This window comes from Homo sapiens, chromosome 1 (assembly GCF_000001405.40).
Source record: "Homo sapiens chromosome 1, GRCh38.p14 Primary Assembly".
Taxonomy (NCBI): domain Eukaryota; kingdom Metazoa; phylum Chordata; class Mammalia; order Primates; family Hominidae; genus Homo; species Homo sapiens.
The window spans coordinates 171,118,145-171,137,199 of NC_000001.11; the positions used below are offsets into that span (position 1 = coordinate 171,118,145).

The 19,055-nt window shown below is 38.3% G+C and overlaps 1 long non-coding RNA gene across 2 annotated transcripts in view; it reads right to left on the reverse strand.

Annotated features, from left to right (window-relative positions):
- FMO1-AS1 (FMO1 antisense RNA 1) overlaps window positions 2,228-19,055 on the reverse strand; it is a 131,518-nt gene continuing 114,690 nt past the window's right edge. The window contains exons 4-5 of one of the 2 annotated variants that reach the window (XR_922278.4): window positions 3,606-3,719; window positions 2,228-2,412 (exon numbers count right to left, since the gene is read on the reverse strand). This is a non-coding gene — a long non-coding RNA (FMO1 antisense RNA 1). Of the gene's footprint in view, window positions 3,720-19,055 lie in introns of both variants that reach the window. The other variant, XR_001738291.3, reaches the window with a different exon arrangement.

The window sequence follows — 19,055 nt, forward strand, 5'->3', positions numbered from 1 at the left end:
AAAATCTAATGCTTATAGATTAAAGATTTATAGTCTTATATAGTCTACCCCAATAAACTTACGAGGTACCAGAATAAATCTAAAACTGTATTTTATAGTGTATTACATTTTATAGTTAAAATTTTCATAATTATGATTTTTAAATTTTGACATTATAGAGCAGATAAAATCACCTGCCAGAATCATCAGTCATCAGAGGGCTCCACCAGTTAGTTATTATACTACGTATTTCTTACTAAACCTTCCCTTCCAACTTAGATCAATGGAACAAATATATATGTGTGTGTATATATATTCCTCTTAAAGGTCCACCAGTCCCATTCCTGTGATAATCCACTAATTCATTAATCCATAAATGATGCTTCAATTTATTTAAGCAGAGTCCTCATAACCCAATCACCTCTTAAAGGCCTCACCTTTCAATACTGCTGCATTGAGGATTAGTTTTCAACATGAGATCTGGAGAGAAAAACATTCAAACCATTGCATCATACAAAAAAAAGGCTATTAAAAATTGGATTATAGCAACTTAATCTTCTATTTATTTTTTGTACTGGCATTTATAACATGAAGCAAAAAATTTTTATGGGCTGTGTTTAATTTTTAGTTACTTGATTCTATTTAGGGCACAGGTTTTCAAGAAAAGTTTTGCTTCATTTGGGAATACTTGGGAATATTTCACATCTGGTAAGAAGACCTTAAAAGCAGAATGTTACTTTGCTACCACAAACAATTAGGAAAAGGAAAATATTTAAAATTGTATACAACATTTATGATAAATCTGAGCTTCAAAGATAAAAATATAAAGAAAGTAACAATAGAAAAGAAGAAAGCGTTAGGTAAAAATGTGATCTTCTTTCTTTCTTCCATTTCTATATCCCCCATATGTGTGTATGTGAGTGTATATATATATAGATATAGATATATAGATATATAGATATATATCATATTGAAAGGAAAGCAATATGAAAGCACTCCCATGGTTATTGCAGTACTATTCACAATGGCCAAACCTAAGTGTTTGTCAACAGACAAATGGATACACCACATTTTCTTTATCCATGTACAAAGAAATGATAAATGGTTGAGGTGATGGATATGCTAGTTACCCTGATTTGATCACTATTCATGATATACATGCATCAAAATATCACACTGTGCCCCATAAATTGTATAATTATGTGTCCATTCAAAATAATAAAGGCAATAAAAAGATATTATAGGTCAGTGGTTCTCAACACAACATAACTTGGTGCAATGCCCTCTTTTAATAGCTAGAATTTTGTAACACTTTACAGTCCTGAAGTAAAATTAATACACAAATGTGTTAAATGTGTGCGTGTGTGTGTGACTATAACCCCACTTGTAATGTACAGAATATTTTCAAGTTGTGCAACTGTAAGTACACATCCAAGAAGGCTTTGTGTCAAATCATTTTGCAGGACTTCACAGAGCTTCTAATAACTAGAACTCCTCAATCATGCAACAAAAAAACTCACCCTGAAAATTCCAAAAATACCCTAAGTCAAGTGAAGTAGCCCTAATGAGATTCACTATAAAATGAACGAAAAATCTAAGTCTCAGAGATTATGATCCAAGAACACTAATCTAAAAAGGGTAGAGTTTGAACCCAAAGCCATATCTCATGATATGTAATCTACTAAATTTGTTTAGAATGTCGCAACTGCCTCCTAATTTAGAGTGGTTTTTCAGGGTGACATTTAAACTTCTGTGTCTGCCCAAGGTCTGTTGACTTTTAGAGACACAGAAATCATGCAGCACATAGTTCCATTCAATACAAAGTAATGGACAATCTAACTTACTGACATTGATATATGATGCTAGCCCCATATAACAGCCCTTTTGGTTGAAATCCAGAAGGGATTGAGAATAGATGACAGGGTTCAAATTTATTTATTTAAGTCATCTGCATAAGAATTTATAAAATTTCCAGATTTGCACATACCATTGCCTCCTTGATATCTTTTCTTGCATGTGCATAGGCATCCCACACATAAACTACTACATTTACCTCTCAGTTTTTCCCACCACCAACATTCCCATATAGATTCCAAACATGTTCTTTCCTCAATCTTACTCGTCCTGGTAATGAGACCTCTAAATACCCCATTTCTCAAGCCACAAAACTAGGCATAATCCTCAATTCCTTTAGCTGCCTCCTGTATTCATTAGCCAGGGATGCCATAAGAAAGTACCACAGACTGGGTGGCTTAAACAATAAAAATTTATTTTCTCATAATTCCTGAGTCTAGAAATCCAAGATCAGGGTGTCAACAATGTTGGTTTCTTCTGAAGCCTCTCTCGTTGGTTTGTAGATAACTTCTTCTGTGTCTTCACACAGTCTTCTTCTGTACATGCCTGTGACCGAATCTCCTCTTCTCATGAAGAAACCTATTATATTGGATTAGGGACAACCCTATGACCTCATTTTAACTTAATAGCCTTTTTAAGAATGCTGTCTTCAAATATAGTAACATTCTGAAGTACTAGGGGTTAGAACTTCAATATATAAATTTGAGAGTGACACAAGTCCATCCATAACACCTCACCATTCCCCTACCTACAGCATCAGCAAATGTTCTCACTTCTGTCTACCTCCACAGCCTCCACTCAGGTCAAAGCCACCATTAACTCTTACCCATTATTCTAAGAGCCTCCTTCTTGATTCCATTCTTGCATCTTAACATTCCATTTTGTATGCAGCAGCAAGAGTAAACTTTTTCAAACGCAAATAGGATCTTGTCACCCTTCTTGCTGTGTCATGTGAGGACATGCTTCCAATTCCTTGCATGCTGCTGGCTAATCTTAAGACATAGGAGGGAAGCACCCATAATCCAGAAACTCAGCTCTCTATTGACAGTTCTCTTGGGTTAAGATAATAGTATTTAACAAAAGAAGTTCTGTCCACCCTCTTATAATTCTGAGATGGTACCTACACTGCTCAAGCCTTTTCCTACAGACATTTATACCTGCTGTATTTAAAACTTCTTTTCATAGGCTTGGTTACCAGATTTAAGTATGAAGAAAGCCCTGAAAATAGAAAGCTTTCTAAGTTGGAAACATAATTGCCCATCTCTGATTGCCAAAAGGATTAAGTTGTAATATTAGTCTCCACATGGAAATGTATAGCCTCTTGTTTGTTGTGTAACTGTGTAGTTATCCAACAAGTAGAAATTTCAATTCTTTCTGTTAAGTTCATGCCACAGGTTTGTAGAAAGGCACTTCCTGATGTTGGGAAAAACTATGGAGGCAATGAGATTTCTGTGAAGTTACCGGCTTTCCCTTTCTGCTTTTGTGCCCCTTAGAATATTTTCATGTCACTCAAATAGCCACTGCCTTCACATTTCTTCTGCTTTCACACTAATCTCATTGAAGGATCTGTAGTTTGCTCCCACTAATAATGTTTTCCCATTAAGAAAACAGCTGAAAATGTCACCTTTCTTGAAGGGAGTACATTTCAACATCTCATATAAGTGATTACTACTTTAATTATTGATGTATGAGAATCTGGTACCTCAACTGTAGGCCAGTGTGAAAAGGAACAAAGTCCAAAATCATGCATATCACAGGCTTATGCAACTTACCTGACCACGATAGAAAGGTGGAAAGTGGTCAAAATTCCGGTGTCCAACTTGATTCAATTTATAGCTGGCATCCAAGAGGACAAGATAGTGAGTTCCTTGGTTTCTCGGTCATAGCTACAATGAGGACAAGATGAGTTCCTCAATTGTAACAAGAGTCAAAATCTTACAAATGGTTCCAGAAGACCAATGTCATTCTAGATAGCCCATACATTGGTGGAATAAGACTCCAGCCAGAAGTAAATGACATGAAGAAAAGATTTAGCTCCTAGTTACAGGTAAGGGATACTCCTAAGAACCAGACAGACTACCAGAGTCCCAATCAAGTGGCCTGGAGATCAGAATAAGGCTCCAATAAGTCAAGTCATAGAGCATGGGTATATTCTCTAAGAAAGGTCCTCCAAGGAGCATATGACAACATACGACTAAACATGCAAGGAATTGATCAGGAGAATACCTGTGAAAGATAATAGGAAAGGAGCTGGAAAAGACAGGGAGAGCTGTCAGACAGGGATGCAAGTATGACCCCAAGCGAAGAAGTGAGGGGAGGAGAGTTGGGTGAAAACATTCCAGACTGCCAAGCAGTCTAGGAATGGTTTGGCAAAGCTGCAGGGGAATGCCTGAACAAAGTTGGGCATCAGAAGAGCCCTGTGTCTATAAGGCAGAGGCCTGCCTAGGTATCTCTGCCATACTCAGTCATTGGCTGGGAATAGCCTGAACAAGTACAGCCTCAGTTCAAAGACAGCATTCAATGAGCAGCTTGGGTCCATTGGTCAATTATGCTCCCTGTAGTTTGGGTCCATTGGTCAATTATGCTCCCTGTAGTTGGAGATCTGCAACTTCTCATGACCACCAGAAGGAGCCAGCCCAGTAGGATTTACCAAAGGATTGGTGAGGGAACAGGTGCAGAGTTTATACCAGATACCAATATTACCAAAGGAAAACTAATTCCAGGCCCTGCAGCTGACAATTGTTCACCTTTCGCCTTAGTTTGGATTGGCTTAGTGATCAGGAACAGCAAACTCAGCAGACTGAAATTTCTCTGTGTTTAGGTGAAAATGTGCTTCTGTGTGAAGGCACAACTGGCAATTATTAAATCTCCTCTCCCAAGCTTGAGTAAATTAAAGAGGGGCTCTGAGCTATGAATTTCAGCTCAGAGCCTTCAAAGATAAATGTTAAACTTTTGAAAATTTTCCAGCAAGATAATGGCAAATGGTTATCTAAATTTCACTGTGTAATTTGCATCCTGTCAGATAACACAACTCCTGTCAGTGTTTTATGTTGTTCCCCCAGCCTGTTTTCAAGCAGTTTTCTTCCTGTGGAACATAAAACAGACAAATAATAGTGGGGGTCACATGATCTGCTTATTTTTAGACTGCTGCTCTACTGCAAATAGCTTTCCAGTGCCACTGTGTCTCAGCCCATATGTCCTGCTATAAAGGAATATCTGAGGCTGGATAATTTATAAAGAAAAAAGGTTTCTTTGGCTCATGGTTCTGCAGGCTGTACAAAAGCATTGCACTAGTATCTGCTTCTGATGAGGGCCTCAGGCTGCTTCCACTCATGATGGAAGGGAAAGGGGAACTGATGTGTGCAGAAATTACATGGTAAGGCAGGAAGCAGTAGAGAGAGGAGGAGGCATCAGACTCTTTTTAACAACCAATTCTCACAGAACTAAGAGTGAGAACTCACTCCTGTGAGGATGACACCAAGCAGTTCATGAGAGGTCCACCCTCAAGATCCAAATACCTCCCACCAGGACCCACCTCCAACATTGGGATCAAATGTCAACCTGAGACTTGATAGGGCCAAGCAAAGTATATCCAAATCACAGCACAGTTTTTCAGCTCCAGAATAATTATCATGTTTTCCAGGGCAAAAGTTTCCATAAAAATGATAATAGTAAAGGGCAAACAGAATTCATGCTTTCTACCAACAGTTTTTGTACTAGTTATGTACTAGGGTATATTCTAGGACCTGGAGATTTAACAGGAAATTATATTAAAATAATCCCACTTTTAAGAAAGTCACATTCTATCAGGGGAAAACAGTCTATTTAAAAATACACGGGCCAAACACAGTGGCTCACGCCTATAATCCCAGCACTTTGGGAGGCCGAGGCAGGTGGATGACGAGGTCAAGAGATCAAGACCATCCTGGCCAACATGGTGAAACCTTGCCTCTACTAAAAATACAAAAAATAGCCAGATGTGGTGGCGGGCACCTGTAGTCCCAGCTATTCAGTTGGCTGAGGCAGGAGAATTGCTTGAACACGGGAGGCAGAGGTTGCAGTGAGCTGAGATCGTGCCACTGCACTCCAGCCTGGTGACAGAGCAAGACTCCGTCTCAAAAAAAAATTAAAATTAAAATTAATAGAGAACATATCATGACATAGAATAATAGAAAACAAATGGCCTTAAAAGTTGTCTAGTCCAGTCCTCTAGTTGCAAACCAAAGCAACCCAGGAAACATGTGAGGCCAGTGGTTACCAACTCCCTTTGAGTCCCAGGTGTACTTTTTCTTAAGCTACTGAAACTATATTGCTTACAGTGTATCAGCCCCAAACCTGATGGATTTCTAGTCAATTTATCAATATTCTGAAGTTCTATATTTCCCTAATCTCTAGTGCAGAAATCCAGCTGCAATTCCTTCTATTTTATCCCAGTAAGATCTCATTCTAAATCAGCAGAATGCTCCTTTTTGGCATCTTCAATGCTTGTTCCCACCCCACTGTGCCTTCGACCAATTCATTTCATCATTTCTTCTCTCTCTCTCTCATTTTTATGCTACCCATACCCAGACTCAATATTTCAGCCTCATTCTCTCTTCCCCTGGCTTGAATCCCCACTTGCAATCTAAGGATAGGTTCTATAAAGTCTACTTTCTCTATCTCTTTTGCCTCTTTCCATCTTATAATTCCCACTCTGGCAAATTAGATCTGGCTATCATTATTTTTTTTAATTTTGATATAGTATTATTTGTCTATTTTGCTTTTGCTGCCTGGTTTGTTTTTTAATTTTTTGTTCATGTTTTGTTTCGGTTTTTTTAGAGGCAGGTTTTTGTTATGTTGTCCAGGCTGGCCTGGAACTCCTGGGCTCAAGCAGTCCTCCCATCTGAGCCTCCCGAGTACATGGAACATACCACCCCACTCCCAGCTATCATAATTTCTTAGTCTGTTGGAATAGGCCTCTAACTGGCCAGCTAGACTTTAGTTTCCCTGTCATAGTTTATCCTGTATACTACTGCCAGAATCATCTTCCTGAAGTGAGCCTCTAAAACACATTACACGTGCATACAATTCTTTACTGGTTCTTCTTTCTCCCCATTTAAATCTCATACAAGGGGCCTCCCAATATGACTAAAGCTACTTTTCCAGTCTTATTTGTAACTATGTTCCAGACAAACTATACTATTTAGAGTTTTCTCCCTGAATAAACCCACCTTCATGTATATATTTATGGTTATACATGAAATATATATATAACCATAGAAAAATGCCTGAAATCCAGGCGTTTTTTAAACCCGTCTTAAATCTAAATTCTTTCCTTTGGGGTCAGACTTTGTACCTGTTCCCAGAAGCATGCTGAGATCTAACTCTAGTCATGAATCTAATGGCAGCAAAGGCTGGATTGGGGTACTTCTTGAGAATAGCCATCCTTTTGCAAAGCAATTGCCACCAGTGAGGTTATTACAGGATTTTTAAACATCCTCAGACTTGGGATGGTGGGCTGCTTCCACTAGAAAGAGAAGCTCAAAGTGATTCGAAGGTTTGAGATTCTCAGCTTCATTAAAAGACTTGCTGAGGCTGGGTATTCAGCATAAGTTGTCATTCTGAAACCTGCAAAATTAAAATTTGTTCTGATTTTCAGACAAGTTGAACCTTTGTTGCAAGAAATAATATTATTTTAAATCCACCACAGGAGCACTCTGGCTGTCTGGCATGACTTGAGCCGAGAGTTGAAAAACCTGTGCCTGTCATCTTCTTTCTTAAGTGCTTCAGTGCACTCAGAAGTTACCATCCCTACCCTTGATCTTGTGGTCATTATTGCCATCATGCAGGTAAATGTAGCAGCCACTTGTCGTCTGCCCCACCCCCACCCTGCCCCACCAAGGGACTTGCTTCAGTAGGTACTTCCTCACAATCAAATAGAGGTGATAATGTGGTTAATTGTGATGCCATTGCTTGCATGGATTACTGTATCACGATTCTCAATTTTTAAGGAGGTCAGCACTGCATTCAAGTCCAAGGACATGACCAAACCAATCCCAATATCTTATTTTTAAGTGTCCATTTTCTTGGACCATTCCTGGCACCAACTTCTGTATCAGTTAGGGTGCTTTCAGGAAAGAGAAACCTTAACAATAGTTTCAACATAGAGAATATTGATATAGTTTTGCTGTGTCCCCACCCAAATCTCATCTTGAATTCCCACGTGTTGTGGGCAGGACCCAGCGGGAGGTAATTGAATCATGGAAGCAGGTCTTTCCTGTGCTGTTCTCGTGATAGTGAATAAGTCTCATGAGATCTGATGGTTTTAAAGAGGGGAGCTTCCCTGCACAAGCTCTCTTCTCTTGTCTGCTGCCATGAGAGATGTGCCTTTCACCTTCTGCCATGATTTTGAGGCCTTCCCAGACACGTGGAACTATAAGTCCAATAAATTTCTTTCTTTTGTAAATTGCCCAGTCTCTGGTATGTCTTTATCAGCAGTGTGAAAATGGACTAATACAAATATAATATTTAAAAGCATTAGCAAGGTATCAGAGAGTCTTAAAGGCGAAAAGAGAACTCAGAGTATCACACAGATAGTTTCTATAGAAGGAGTTGCCTCTCCTATGCCTGAAGAGAAAACAGAAACAGGTTGGAATTATTAAAACTTAGAGGCTTAGGAGGAACTTGCAGAGCTGGAATCTCATCTCTGAAGAGGGTGCCAGCTGGCTGGTGTTGCTCTCCCTGAAGTCACATGAAGAAACTTGTTCTAGGAGTTTGGGAACAACTATAAATCGGAAGTAGCTACAGCACCAGCATGGCTGCAGAGGTGAAGACCTTTTTCTGCAACAATACTAACAGGAACAGGAAGCAACCAGGAAGGAACGAAGGGGAATGAAGTTTGCAAAGTCCCAGCCCCAGCAACATAAAGCACAGCGTAAAAGAACATGTCTGAAGTTGAGAGAAAGTAACTTAATCAGGAAGCCTTCTTTAAACCCATCTCAAATGGGTTTAAATCCTCCTCGTTTGAGGCTTTCTTAATTTACTCTCTATATATGTGTTTTTCTCTCTCCTTAGAATCTCTACAGCAACTTAGATGCTTTTTGGTGTCACTTGTATTTTGCCCTGTACTACAGGTATCCCTATAGCTGTCTTAATCTCTCCCCTCTTCATTGTCATTCTTCTCCAGACACAAAAACATACATATTAGAAAAAAATCAATGAATGCTGGAACAGTGTTTCATTTATTTCCATATTGCCTCTGACTTCTCTATAGCTAGTTGTTGAACTTGTTCACTGCTGAATCCCCAGTGCTTAGAACTGGACCTAGAGTATAATACATCATGTATGTATGTGTGTGTGTATGTGTGTGTGAAAATAAATGATTAGTTAGTGAATAAATTTAACTGAATTGAATGTCAGTCCAGGAAGTCAGACTTGAATGACAATAGGGGATTCTGCATATGGGAATGCTTTGATTAAACAGTAATGCCATTTGAGGAAACAAAATAAAATATCTTCTTTTTACGGTGATTAACCTAATCTCAAACTTGGAAAACTTCTCAGCATCTAATTCATTGTCTTCCTTCACTCCTCCCCTTGACCATGTCAAAAGAAAGATTTAAGTGGATCCAAACCTGAAGCTGTTCCCATAACACAACAAATGTAGAGAATGTGTTTTGCAACCAGTAGTAATGACCAAAAAATGTATTTACATAGACTTGCTTGAAAAGATAAACATAGCATATTATATTCAGAACAAAGGAAGAATGGCTCTTAGCATGCCTGTGGTAAGAAATAAAGTCTGTTCCAAATCCCAAGGTACCAGAGAGCCTAAAATTCCCTGGCAGATGAATTTAATCACTTTTCCGTGTTGTTAATAAGAAAACACTACAGAATGTCAGCTGGTGGAATCGGAATTTTCAGTGCTCATTCTCTCACAGTAATATCAATTTTAATAACCATCCACAACAAAAATACCTGCACAAGACCTAAGGAATCCAGGTGAGAGATTACAGCACCTGAATGGGGCACAGAAATAAGAAAAAACACATAGAAGAGGATAGGAGGGACAGTTTCACACTACCTGTATCACCTCTCCCCCAAGCCTAGGCAACACAGTATGGAGACAGATGCCCTCCATTTAAGTAAGGAGAAGAAAATGAGTAGGCAACTTTGCTCTGGACCCTATTACCAGGCCTGCACTACTAAACCCCAGTGCCAGGTGAGTCCTCACAGTCCCAGGCTCCAGGCTTAACCAGGTGTCAGGCCATATCTAATGGTCCCAGGCTGCAGGATAACTCCTGCGAACCCAGTTTTCCAGGCCTGCCTGAGATTTAAGGGCAGCAGCCCTCATGGCCCCAGACACCAGACTGACCACTGAGAACCCAGGTTTTAGGCCCACCCCGGTACCAGGCCAGCCCCTGTGGACTTGGGCCTAAGAACTGCCCCAATGCCAGGATAGCTCCCGTAGACATAAGCTTCAAGCGCACCCCCATGGACAGTCACTAAGCCCACCCCAGTGGACCACAAACCCTGCTGGCCCCTGTGGATGCAAGCACCAGGACTGTCCACATGGCTGCAGCTTCAGGCCAAGCCCAATGGACCCAGGCTCCAAGTCTTTCCCATGGACCTATGCATCAAGTTGACCTTTGTGAACCTAGGCATCAGACCTGTTCATCTGCTAACTTAGGCACCAAGCCAGCTCACCTGAGGACTTCAGTAGCAAACCTGTCATGGACCTTGCATGTCAGACTGCCAAGAATCTCTGCCCAGTCTGACTGTAAAGGGATCTCCCTGCCAAAACCTGTCTCTAACAACTAGAAGAGGTCCTTACTTTTTAAAATCTGCAGACAGCAGTTCAAGACCACAAGATTACAAATAATCTGGGAAATGTGACACCACCAAAGGAACAGAATAAAGCACCAGTAAACCAACACTAAAGAAATGAAGATCTACAAACTTCCTGAAAAAGAATTTAAAATAATTGTCTTCAAGAAGTCCAGTGAGCTAAAATAGAACACAGATAGGCAATTAAATGAAATCAGGGGAAAAATAAACAAAATGATAAGTTTAACAAAGAGATAGAAACCATTCAAAAAACACACAAAAAAATTCTGGAGCTGCAAAACACAATTACAGAACTGAAAGATTCAACAGAGAACTTCAACAGCAGACTTGATCAAGCAGAAAAAAAAAAATCAGCAAACTTTAAGACAGATCAGTTGAAATTACCCAGTGAGAGAAACAGAAAAAAGAATGACAGATAGTAAAGAAAGTCTACAAGACAAATGGGAAACCATCAAGTCAACCAATATACGCATTATGGGAGCCCCACAAAGAACCAAGAAATAGAGGTAGAAAGCTTATATAAAGAAATAATGATAGCAGACTTTCCAAATCTAGAAAGGGAGCTAAACATCCAAATCCATAAATCCCAAAGAATTCAGTTAGATTAAACATAAAGAGATCTTCACTGTGACACATAATCAAATTCATAAAAGTCAAAAGACAGAATTTTAAAGGCACCAAGAAAAAAGTGATTCATCACATACAAGAGAACACTCATAAAACAATCAGTAGATTTCTCAGTAGAAACTTTGTAGGCAAAAATGGAATGATATACTCAACATGCTGAAAGAAAAATAAAATGCCAATCAAGAATACTATATGTGATGTGTTAGTCTGTTCTTGCATTCCTATAAAGGAATACCTGATGCTGGGTGATTTATAAAGAAAAGAGGTTTTATTTTTCACTCACAGTTCTTCAGGTTGTATAGGAAGCATAGTGCCAGCATCTGTCTTTGGTAAGGACCTTGGGAAACTTGCAATTACGGCAGAAACTGAAGGAAAGCAAGCATGTTACACGGCCAGAGGGCGAGCAAGAGAGAAAGAGAGGAGGTGCCACTCAGATCTTGAGTGAACTATCAGAGCAAGAACTTACTCATCACCAAGGGAATGGCAATAAGCCATTCATGAGCAATATGGCCCCATGATCCAAACATCTCCCACCAGGCCCCACTTCCAATATTGGGGATTACATTTCAACATAAGATTTGGAGGGCACAAACACCCAAACTACATCATTCCACCCCTAGCCCCCAAATCTCATGTCCTTCTCACATTGCAAAATATAATTATCCCTTCCAATAGTCCCCAAAGTCTTAACTCATTCTAGTATTAACTTAAAAGTCCCAAGTTCCGAGTCTCAAGTCCAATGTCTTATCTGGAAATGAATCCCTTTCACCTATGAGCCCACATTTGTCTCAAGTGCACATAAACTATTCTCCAGGATAGATAATATGTTAGGCCACAAAACAAGTCTTCACAAATTTAAGAATACTGAAATCATATCAAGTATCTTTACTGACCACATGGTATTAAATCAGAAATCGATGACAGAAAGAACTTTGGAAAATTTACAAATACATGTAAATTAAATAATATTCTCCTGAACAATGACTAGGACAAAGAAGAAATCAAAAAGAACATTTTAAAATATCTTGAGAGAAAAAAAAATACCAAAACTGAGGGACGCAGCAAAATCAGTTCTAAGAGCAAAGCTTACAGAGATAAATGCCTACATTTTAAAATAAATGAAAGAAGAGACATTATACAGATGCCTCAGAAACAAAAAAGATCATAGGGGACTATTATGAACAATTATATACCAACAAATTGAATAACCTAGAGGAAATATATGAATTCCTAGAAACAGAAAACAAACCAAAACTGAGTCAAGAAGAAATAAAAAGCCTGAACATATAAACAAAAAAATTTAAGTAGTAATTTAAAATCTTCCAATAAAGAAAAGCCCAGGACCAGGCTGGACATGGTGGCTCATGCCTGTAATCCCAGCACTTTGGGAGTCTGAGGTAGGTGGATTGCTTGAGCCCAGGAGTTTGAGACCAGCCGGAAACATGGTAAAACCCCGTCTCTACAAAAAATACAAAATTAGCCAGGTGAGGTGCTGTGCACTGGTAGTCCCAGCTACTCAGGAGGCTGAGGTGGGAGGAATAGCTTGAGCCAGGGATATGGAGGTTGTGGTGAGCAGAGATAGCCTCATTGCACTGCAGCCTAGGAAACAGAGATAGACCCAGTCTCAAAAATAAAAAATAAATAAACAAAATAAAGAAAAAAAGCCCAGGAAAAGATGACTTCATAGCTAAATTCTAGAAAACATTCAAATAAATAATATCAATCCCTCTTAAACTCTTCCAAAAAATTGAACCAGAGGAAATCAAACTCATTTTATGAGGCCAGTGTTATCTTCAAAACAAAACCAGACAAGGATACTGTAAGAAAAGAAAATTCTAGGCCAATATCCCTAATGAACATAGATGCAAAAATCCTCAACAAAATGCTAGCAAACTGAGTTTACAACACATTAAAATGATTATACATTATGACCAAGTGGGATTTATCCTTGGGATAGAAGGAAGGTTTAACATATGCAAATCAGTAAATGTAATACATCAAATTAACAAAAAGAAAGACAAAAAAGAAGATAATCTCAATTGATGCAGAGAAAGTGTTTGACAATTCAGCATCCTTTCAAGATGAAAATTCTCAACATTTACATATACAACAAATGTACCTCAATATAATAAGACCATATATGATAAGCTTACAGCTAACTTCATGCAAAATAGTAAAAAGCTGAAAGCTTTTCTTTTAAGATCAGAAAAAAAACAAGAAAGCTAACTCTCACCCCTTCTATTCAATGTAGAACTGAAAGTCCTAGCCAGACAATCAAGCAAGAGAAAAAAAAATCAAATCAGAAATGAAAATGGTAAATTGCCTTTATTTACAGTTGACATCATATTTTATATAGAAAGCCCTAAAGACTTCACCAAAAACTTTTATAACTAATAAACACATTCAGTAAAGTTGCAGGATACAAAATCAACACTAAAAAATGGATTGCATTTCCATACACCAACAACAAACTATCCAAAAAAGAAATTAAGAAAGAAATTCCATTTACAATAGCATCAAAAAGAAAAAATACTTAGGAATACAATTAGCCAATAAGGTGAAACATCTGGACATTTAAAACTATAGTCTTTAAGGCAATTGAGGAAGACACAAAAGAATGCAAAGATATTTTGTGTTCATTAATTAATATTGTTAAAATGTCCATATAATCCAAAGCAATTTACATATTTAATGCAATCCCTTTCAAAATATAAATAGCATTTTTCACACAAATATGAAAAAACATTCCTAAAATTTATATGGAACCAAAAATATCCCAGATAGCCAAAGCAATCTTGAGCAAAAAGAACAAAGCTGGAATCATCAGACTACCTGATTTCAAAATATATTACAAAGCTATAGTATTCAAAACAGTAATGTACTGGCACCAAAACAGACACAGACCAATGAAACAGTATAGAGAGCCACGTAATTACCCACACATATACAACCAACTAATCTTTGACAAAAGTGCCAAGGACACACAATGAGAAAAGGATAGTTTCTTCAATAAATGGTGTTGGAAAAAATTGGATATCCACATGCAAAAGAATGAAATTGGACCCTTAGCTCACACAATATGCAAAAATTAACTCAAAATATATTAAAGACTTAAACTGTAAGTATAACATGTATATAAATCATGAAACTGTAAAACTACTGAAAATAAAAACATAGAGACAAAGCTTTTTGAGATTTGTCTGGGCAATGATTTTTTCAGATATAACCCCAAAACCATAGGCAACAAAAGCAAAAAGAGACAAATGTGACTGCTTCAAAATAAAAGGCTTCTATACAGGAAAGGAAACAACATAGTGAAGAGACAACCTATAGAATGACAGAAAAGATTTGCAAACCATGCATGTGATACGGGGTTAATATCAAAATATATAAGAAACGTAAACATGTCAACAGCAAGAAAACAAATAACCGGATTTTAAAATGGGTAAAGGACCTGAATAAACATCTAAAAAAGAAATGGCCATATGAAAAAATGCCCAACATCACTAATCATCAGGAAAATGCTAATCAAAACAACAAGATATCACCTCACACCTATTAGGATGGCTATTATCAAAAAGATGAAAGATAACAAGTGTTGGTGAGGATGTGGAGTAAAGGGAATCCTTGAATGCTGTTGATGGGAATGTAAATTAGAATAGCCATTATGGGAAACAGTATGAAGGTTCCTCAAAAAAGTAGAATAGAACTACCATATGATTCTGCAATCCTACCTCTGGGTATATATCCACAGGACATGAAATCAGTAAGTCAAAGACATGTCTGCACTCCCATGTTCACTGCAAAATTATTCACAATGACCAAAATATAGAATCAACCTAAGCATTTATCAACAAATGGATAAAGAAAATGTGGCACTTAACTACAGTGGAATATTATTCAGGCTTAAAAATGGAAAACATCTTGTTGCAACAATATGGATGAACCTGACAGACATTTTGCTATGTGAAATTAACCTAGGCCCAGAAAGACAAATACTGATCATTCTCACTTACGTGCAGAATCTACAAAAGATAAACTCACAGAAGCAAAGAGTAGTAGGGTGATTTCCAGGGGCTTGAGGGTGGGGGAAATTGAGTAATCTTGGTCAAATGGTACAAAGTTTCAGTCATGCAGGATGAATATGTTCTGGAGATGTAATGTACAATATGGTGACTATGGTTAAAATACTGTATTGTATGCTTCAAATTTGCTAAAAGAGTAGATCTTAAATGTTCTCACTCAAAAATAATGGTAACTATGTGAGGTGATAAGTATGTTAAATAGCTTATCATTTCACAATGGGGAGATATATATATATACCATGTTTTGTGCCTTAAATATACGCAGTTTTTATTTGTCATACACCTTACCTCATGGTTTGCATTCTGCACTCTGCCCAACTTTCCGTGTGCACTCTCTTGGGTATGTGCTCTTGCTCCCATGGTCCCTGTAGCTGACAACACTTTCCACCCATTTCAAACCACACATTTTTCTTCATTCTTCAAAGTCCTTTCTCAAACACTGATGAAAATGCAAATCTTCCTCCAGTCCCCTCCCACAGAGTAAATTTCTCACCCTTCTAGGTTTAAATAGCCCCTTTTAAGACTCTGTTACTATGTGAATCATGGTCAAAACTGTAGCATAGTTAACAATGTATGTGTCTTCCTCTCATCTATCTGGCCTAATGCTGTGACTGATACCTATTAAATATTTGGTACATAATAATTCCTTTTCTTTTCCTTTTCTTTTCTTTCTCTTAAGGGGAGGCAGCACATCTTCACAGTCCTGCCACATCTTAGTTGTATAATTGTGCCAGGTTAACCTGCTAAGCCCCAGTCTTTCTTCAGAAAAATGGCCACAGTAATACTTGCCTTATAAGGTACTTTTGAAAACAAATAACATAATGTGTCTAAAGTGCTTAGTTTAGTGCCTGGCACCCAGTGAATGCACATTCTAAAGTGATTATTTTTAGTGGTATTTTCCCCCATCATTTCCTGACTGTGAGGCAGTCTGAAGCATTTTACATACCATGTCCCAGAGTCTGCACTAGAACTTAGCTTCCTAGGAGACGGTACTCTGTCCTTTTTTGTTGCCACTGTATCTGTAACATTGCAAACAATGCCTGGCATGCAGTAAATGCTCGATTAATACTTGTTGAATAACCCTCTGAAGGTTCCATACTCTCTAAAGTAAGAGTATCTTCTTCATACTCTCTAAAGTATGTCTTCTCACTATTCCCATTTATAGGGTATTGGAAAAAACATAGCATCAAGTCATCAATTTTTGCTGGCTTAGCAAATTTGAACAGTTCAGTTTTTCATTAGTATATTGAGAATAATAATACCTGCCTCACAAGGTTAATGGAAGAAAATAAATGAAAAGCACTTTGAAATACGTGTCAGCATTCTGAAGATGTTCATTAATCTCAGTCTATTCTTAATCCTGTTCTTGGAGTGGCTAGTGTGAACCATTAGGGGCTGCAAGCCTCAGTGGTATGACCTATAGAGCCCTGAGCTTTAAGAGAAAAGCATGGAACTTTAAGTACAAGGAGACATGGAAAGGCCACAGAGAGGTAGATTCCCAGCTGAGGGGGAGGTAGAGAAGCTCTGGAAATGATCACCTTTATCCCTGGCCTTAACATATCTCTTCCTCCTGGGTCCTCCATAGTACTCAGGGTCAGCCTGAAGATGGTTCACCAGTAGAGAACTGCTGGCGCTGAAGAAGAAGAAGACACTGTGGACAATGTTCTCCCCTTGTTTCATGATCTTGCTCACTTTGGCCTATCAAATAACTCCAGGGACTTCATCTTTTAGTTGATTAAGTACCTGGGATACCACCTTCTTATAGCTCTAAAGACACTGCCAAGCTATGAGAATGCAGGGGGAGGCAGGAGATCCACAAGGTCTGATTTTCCTGATCATTTTTGAGTAACAGGACTTTCTGTGATCTCATTAAATCACAAATGCAGTCTCAATCCGGAAAATAGATCCCATCATATGTGATAATCAAAACCTTGGACTTTACTTTCAGCTGTAATCTTTTCAGTATTACCTTCAGCTGAACCTGCAGCTAGGAGAAGCCTGAGGTCCTGGAAGGCAAGCATGAGGCTTTTCTCCTATATCGCCTTATGCTTCCACTCCTCCTCCCCATGATGCTGATGGAAAAGTTTCCAACCCTTTCAGAAAATTATATTTTCTGTCTTTGAAAAGCTGACATTTTACAAATCTCTTAATTTCTTAATACACTGAGGTGTATGCAGGAAATTAAGAGATTTGTAAAATGTTGAAGGGATATTAGTAATTACTTAATCCAATTTGCTTATCTTACAGGGGAAGGATCTAAATTCCTGCAAGAATTATCCCAAAATATACAGCCAAAGAGATGAATCACTGAGTTTTTAACTATAATATTAGATAACAGTATGAATATTTTTAAAATTTATAAGAAGACAGAACTGGCTTTCATTTAATATCATACGTATTACAAGAATTGGAAAGCTAAAAAACCACATTTCTAAGACTCTCTTGCAGTTAGGGATTGGATGCAATTAGTTTTGCCAGTGAGACAGACATCTAGGCTCAGAAGGCAAAGGGAAGCAAAAGCTAAATTTTCGTGACAATGCTGATGGGCAAATGTATTCCAACAGGTGTGCTTATATCAGCTGAACTCCATGTTCCACCTTTTAGCCCCCCAATTTGTATGTTGCAGGCATCTGTGGTGATTGAAGCAGTTTCCTGCCCTCTGGATAGTAGCTCTAGTGGTGTGACCTCTCCAGTCCTGCAGCAACCTCCTAGTTCCTGCTCTTTCAGCTCTTTGACCTTTTGCAAGCACCTAATTCCCTGTAGTATATACCTTTCTTCATGATATATAGTGTTTTTTATCTCCTGCACTAAATCATGAGCATATGCATATAAATCATAATATGAAATCTTAAAAACAGAAGTACTTTTGCTGAGGCATTAAGCATATAATCAGTCAGCAGGTCCCCAAACATCTAATTCCTGAATATCTCATATATCCTGTCTCCATTATCCATTCCTCTAATGCTACTCTAATTTAAGTCCTCAGTCTCTCTGGCCTAGATTGTTGAAATAACATCCTGGGTTTTTGGTCTCCTTGATTCTAGTCACCATCCTCTCTAGCCTCCAGGTGAATCTGATCTTGTCTGATGTTGTCACTTCCTTGTTCAAAATTCTCGAATGGACAACCGTAATCCAGAAGGTAGTATCCAAACCTGTGATTGTGGCACTTCAGTATCCTTCATAACCTATGTCCTGCATGTTTAACCCATATTTTGCTATTCCCATCACTTATGGTCCAGCAAAACTGAACTAATTGTAGTTCCCCCATCACGTGTTCTTACTTTTCTATGCATTTTCACATATTTTTCTCTCTGCCTTTTTTCTATTTCTTGTCCCTTATCTGTCTGGAAAACATCTATTCTTCCTTCAAGACTCAGCTGTCTTCTCACACTCCTTGAAGCCTCTCTTTCCTCCTCCAAGTGGACCTAGATTTTTCTTCCTACATGCTAGCACTACACTGAACCATACTTCCACTGTGACATTTATCATCTCCCTCAACACTAGACTTCATGGTTCCAGATGGAAAGCACTGTGTCTTCTCACCTTTGAATCCCCCAAAAGACTATTATAATGCATGACATATAGTAGGCTGTCAGTACAGTGAAAGGAATGGCCAGAGGAAGGAAAGGAGGGAAACAGAAGCAGAAAGGACAGGTATAGAAGCCGGAGGGAGCCAGAGACAAG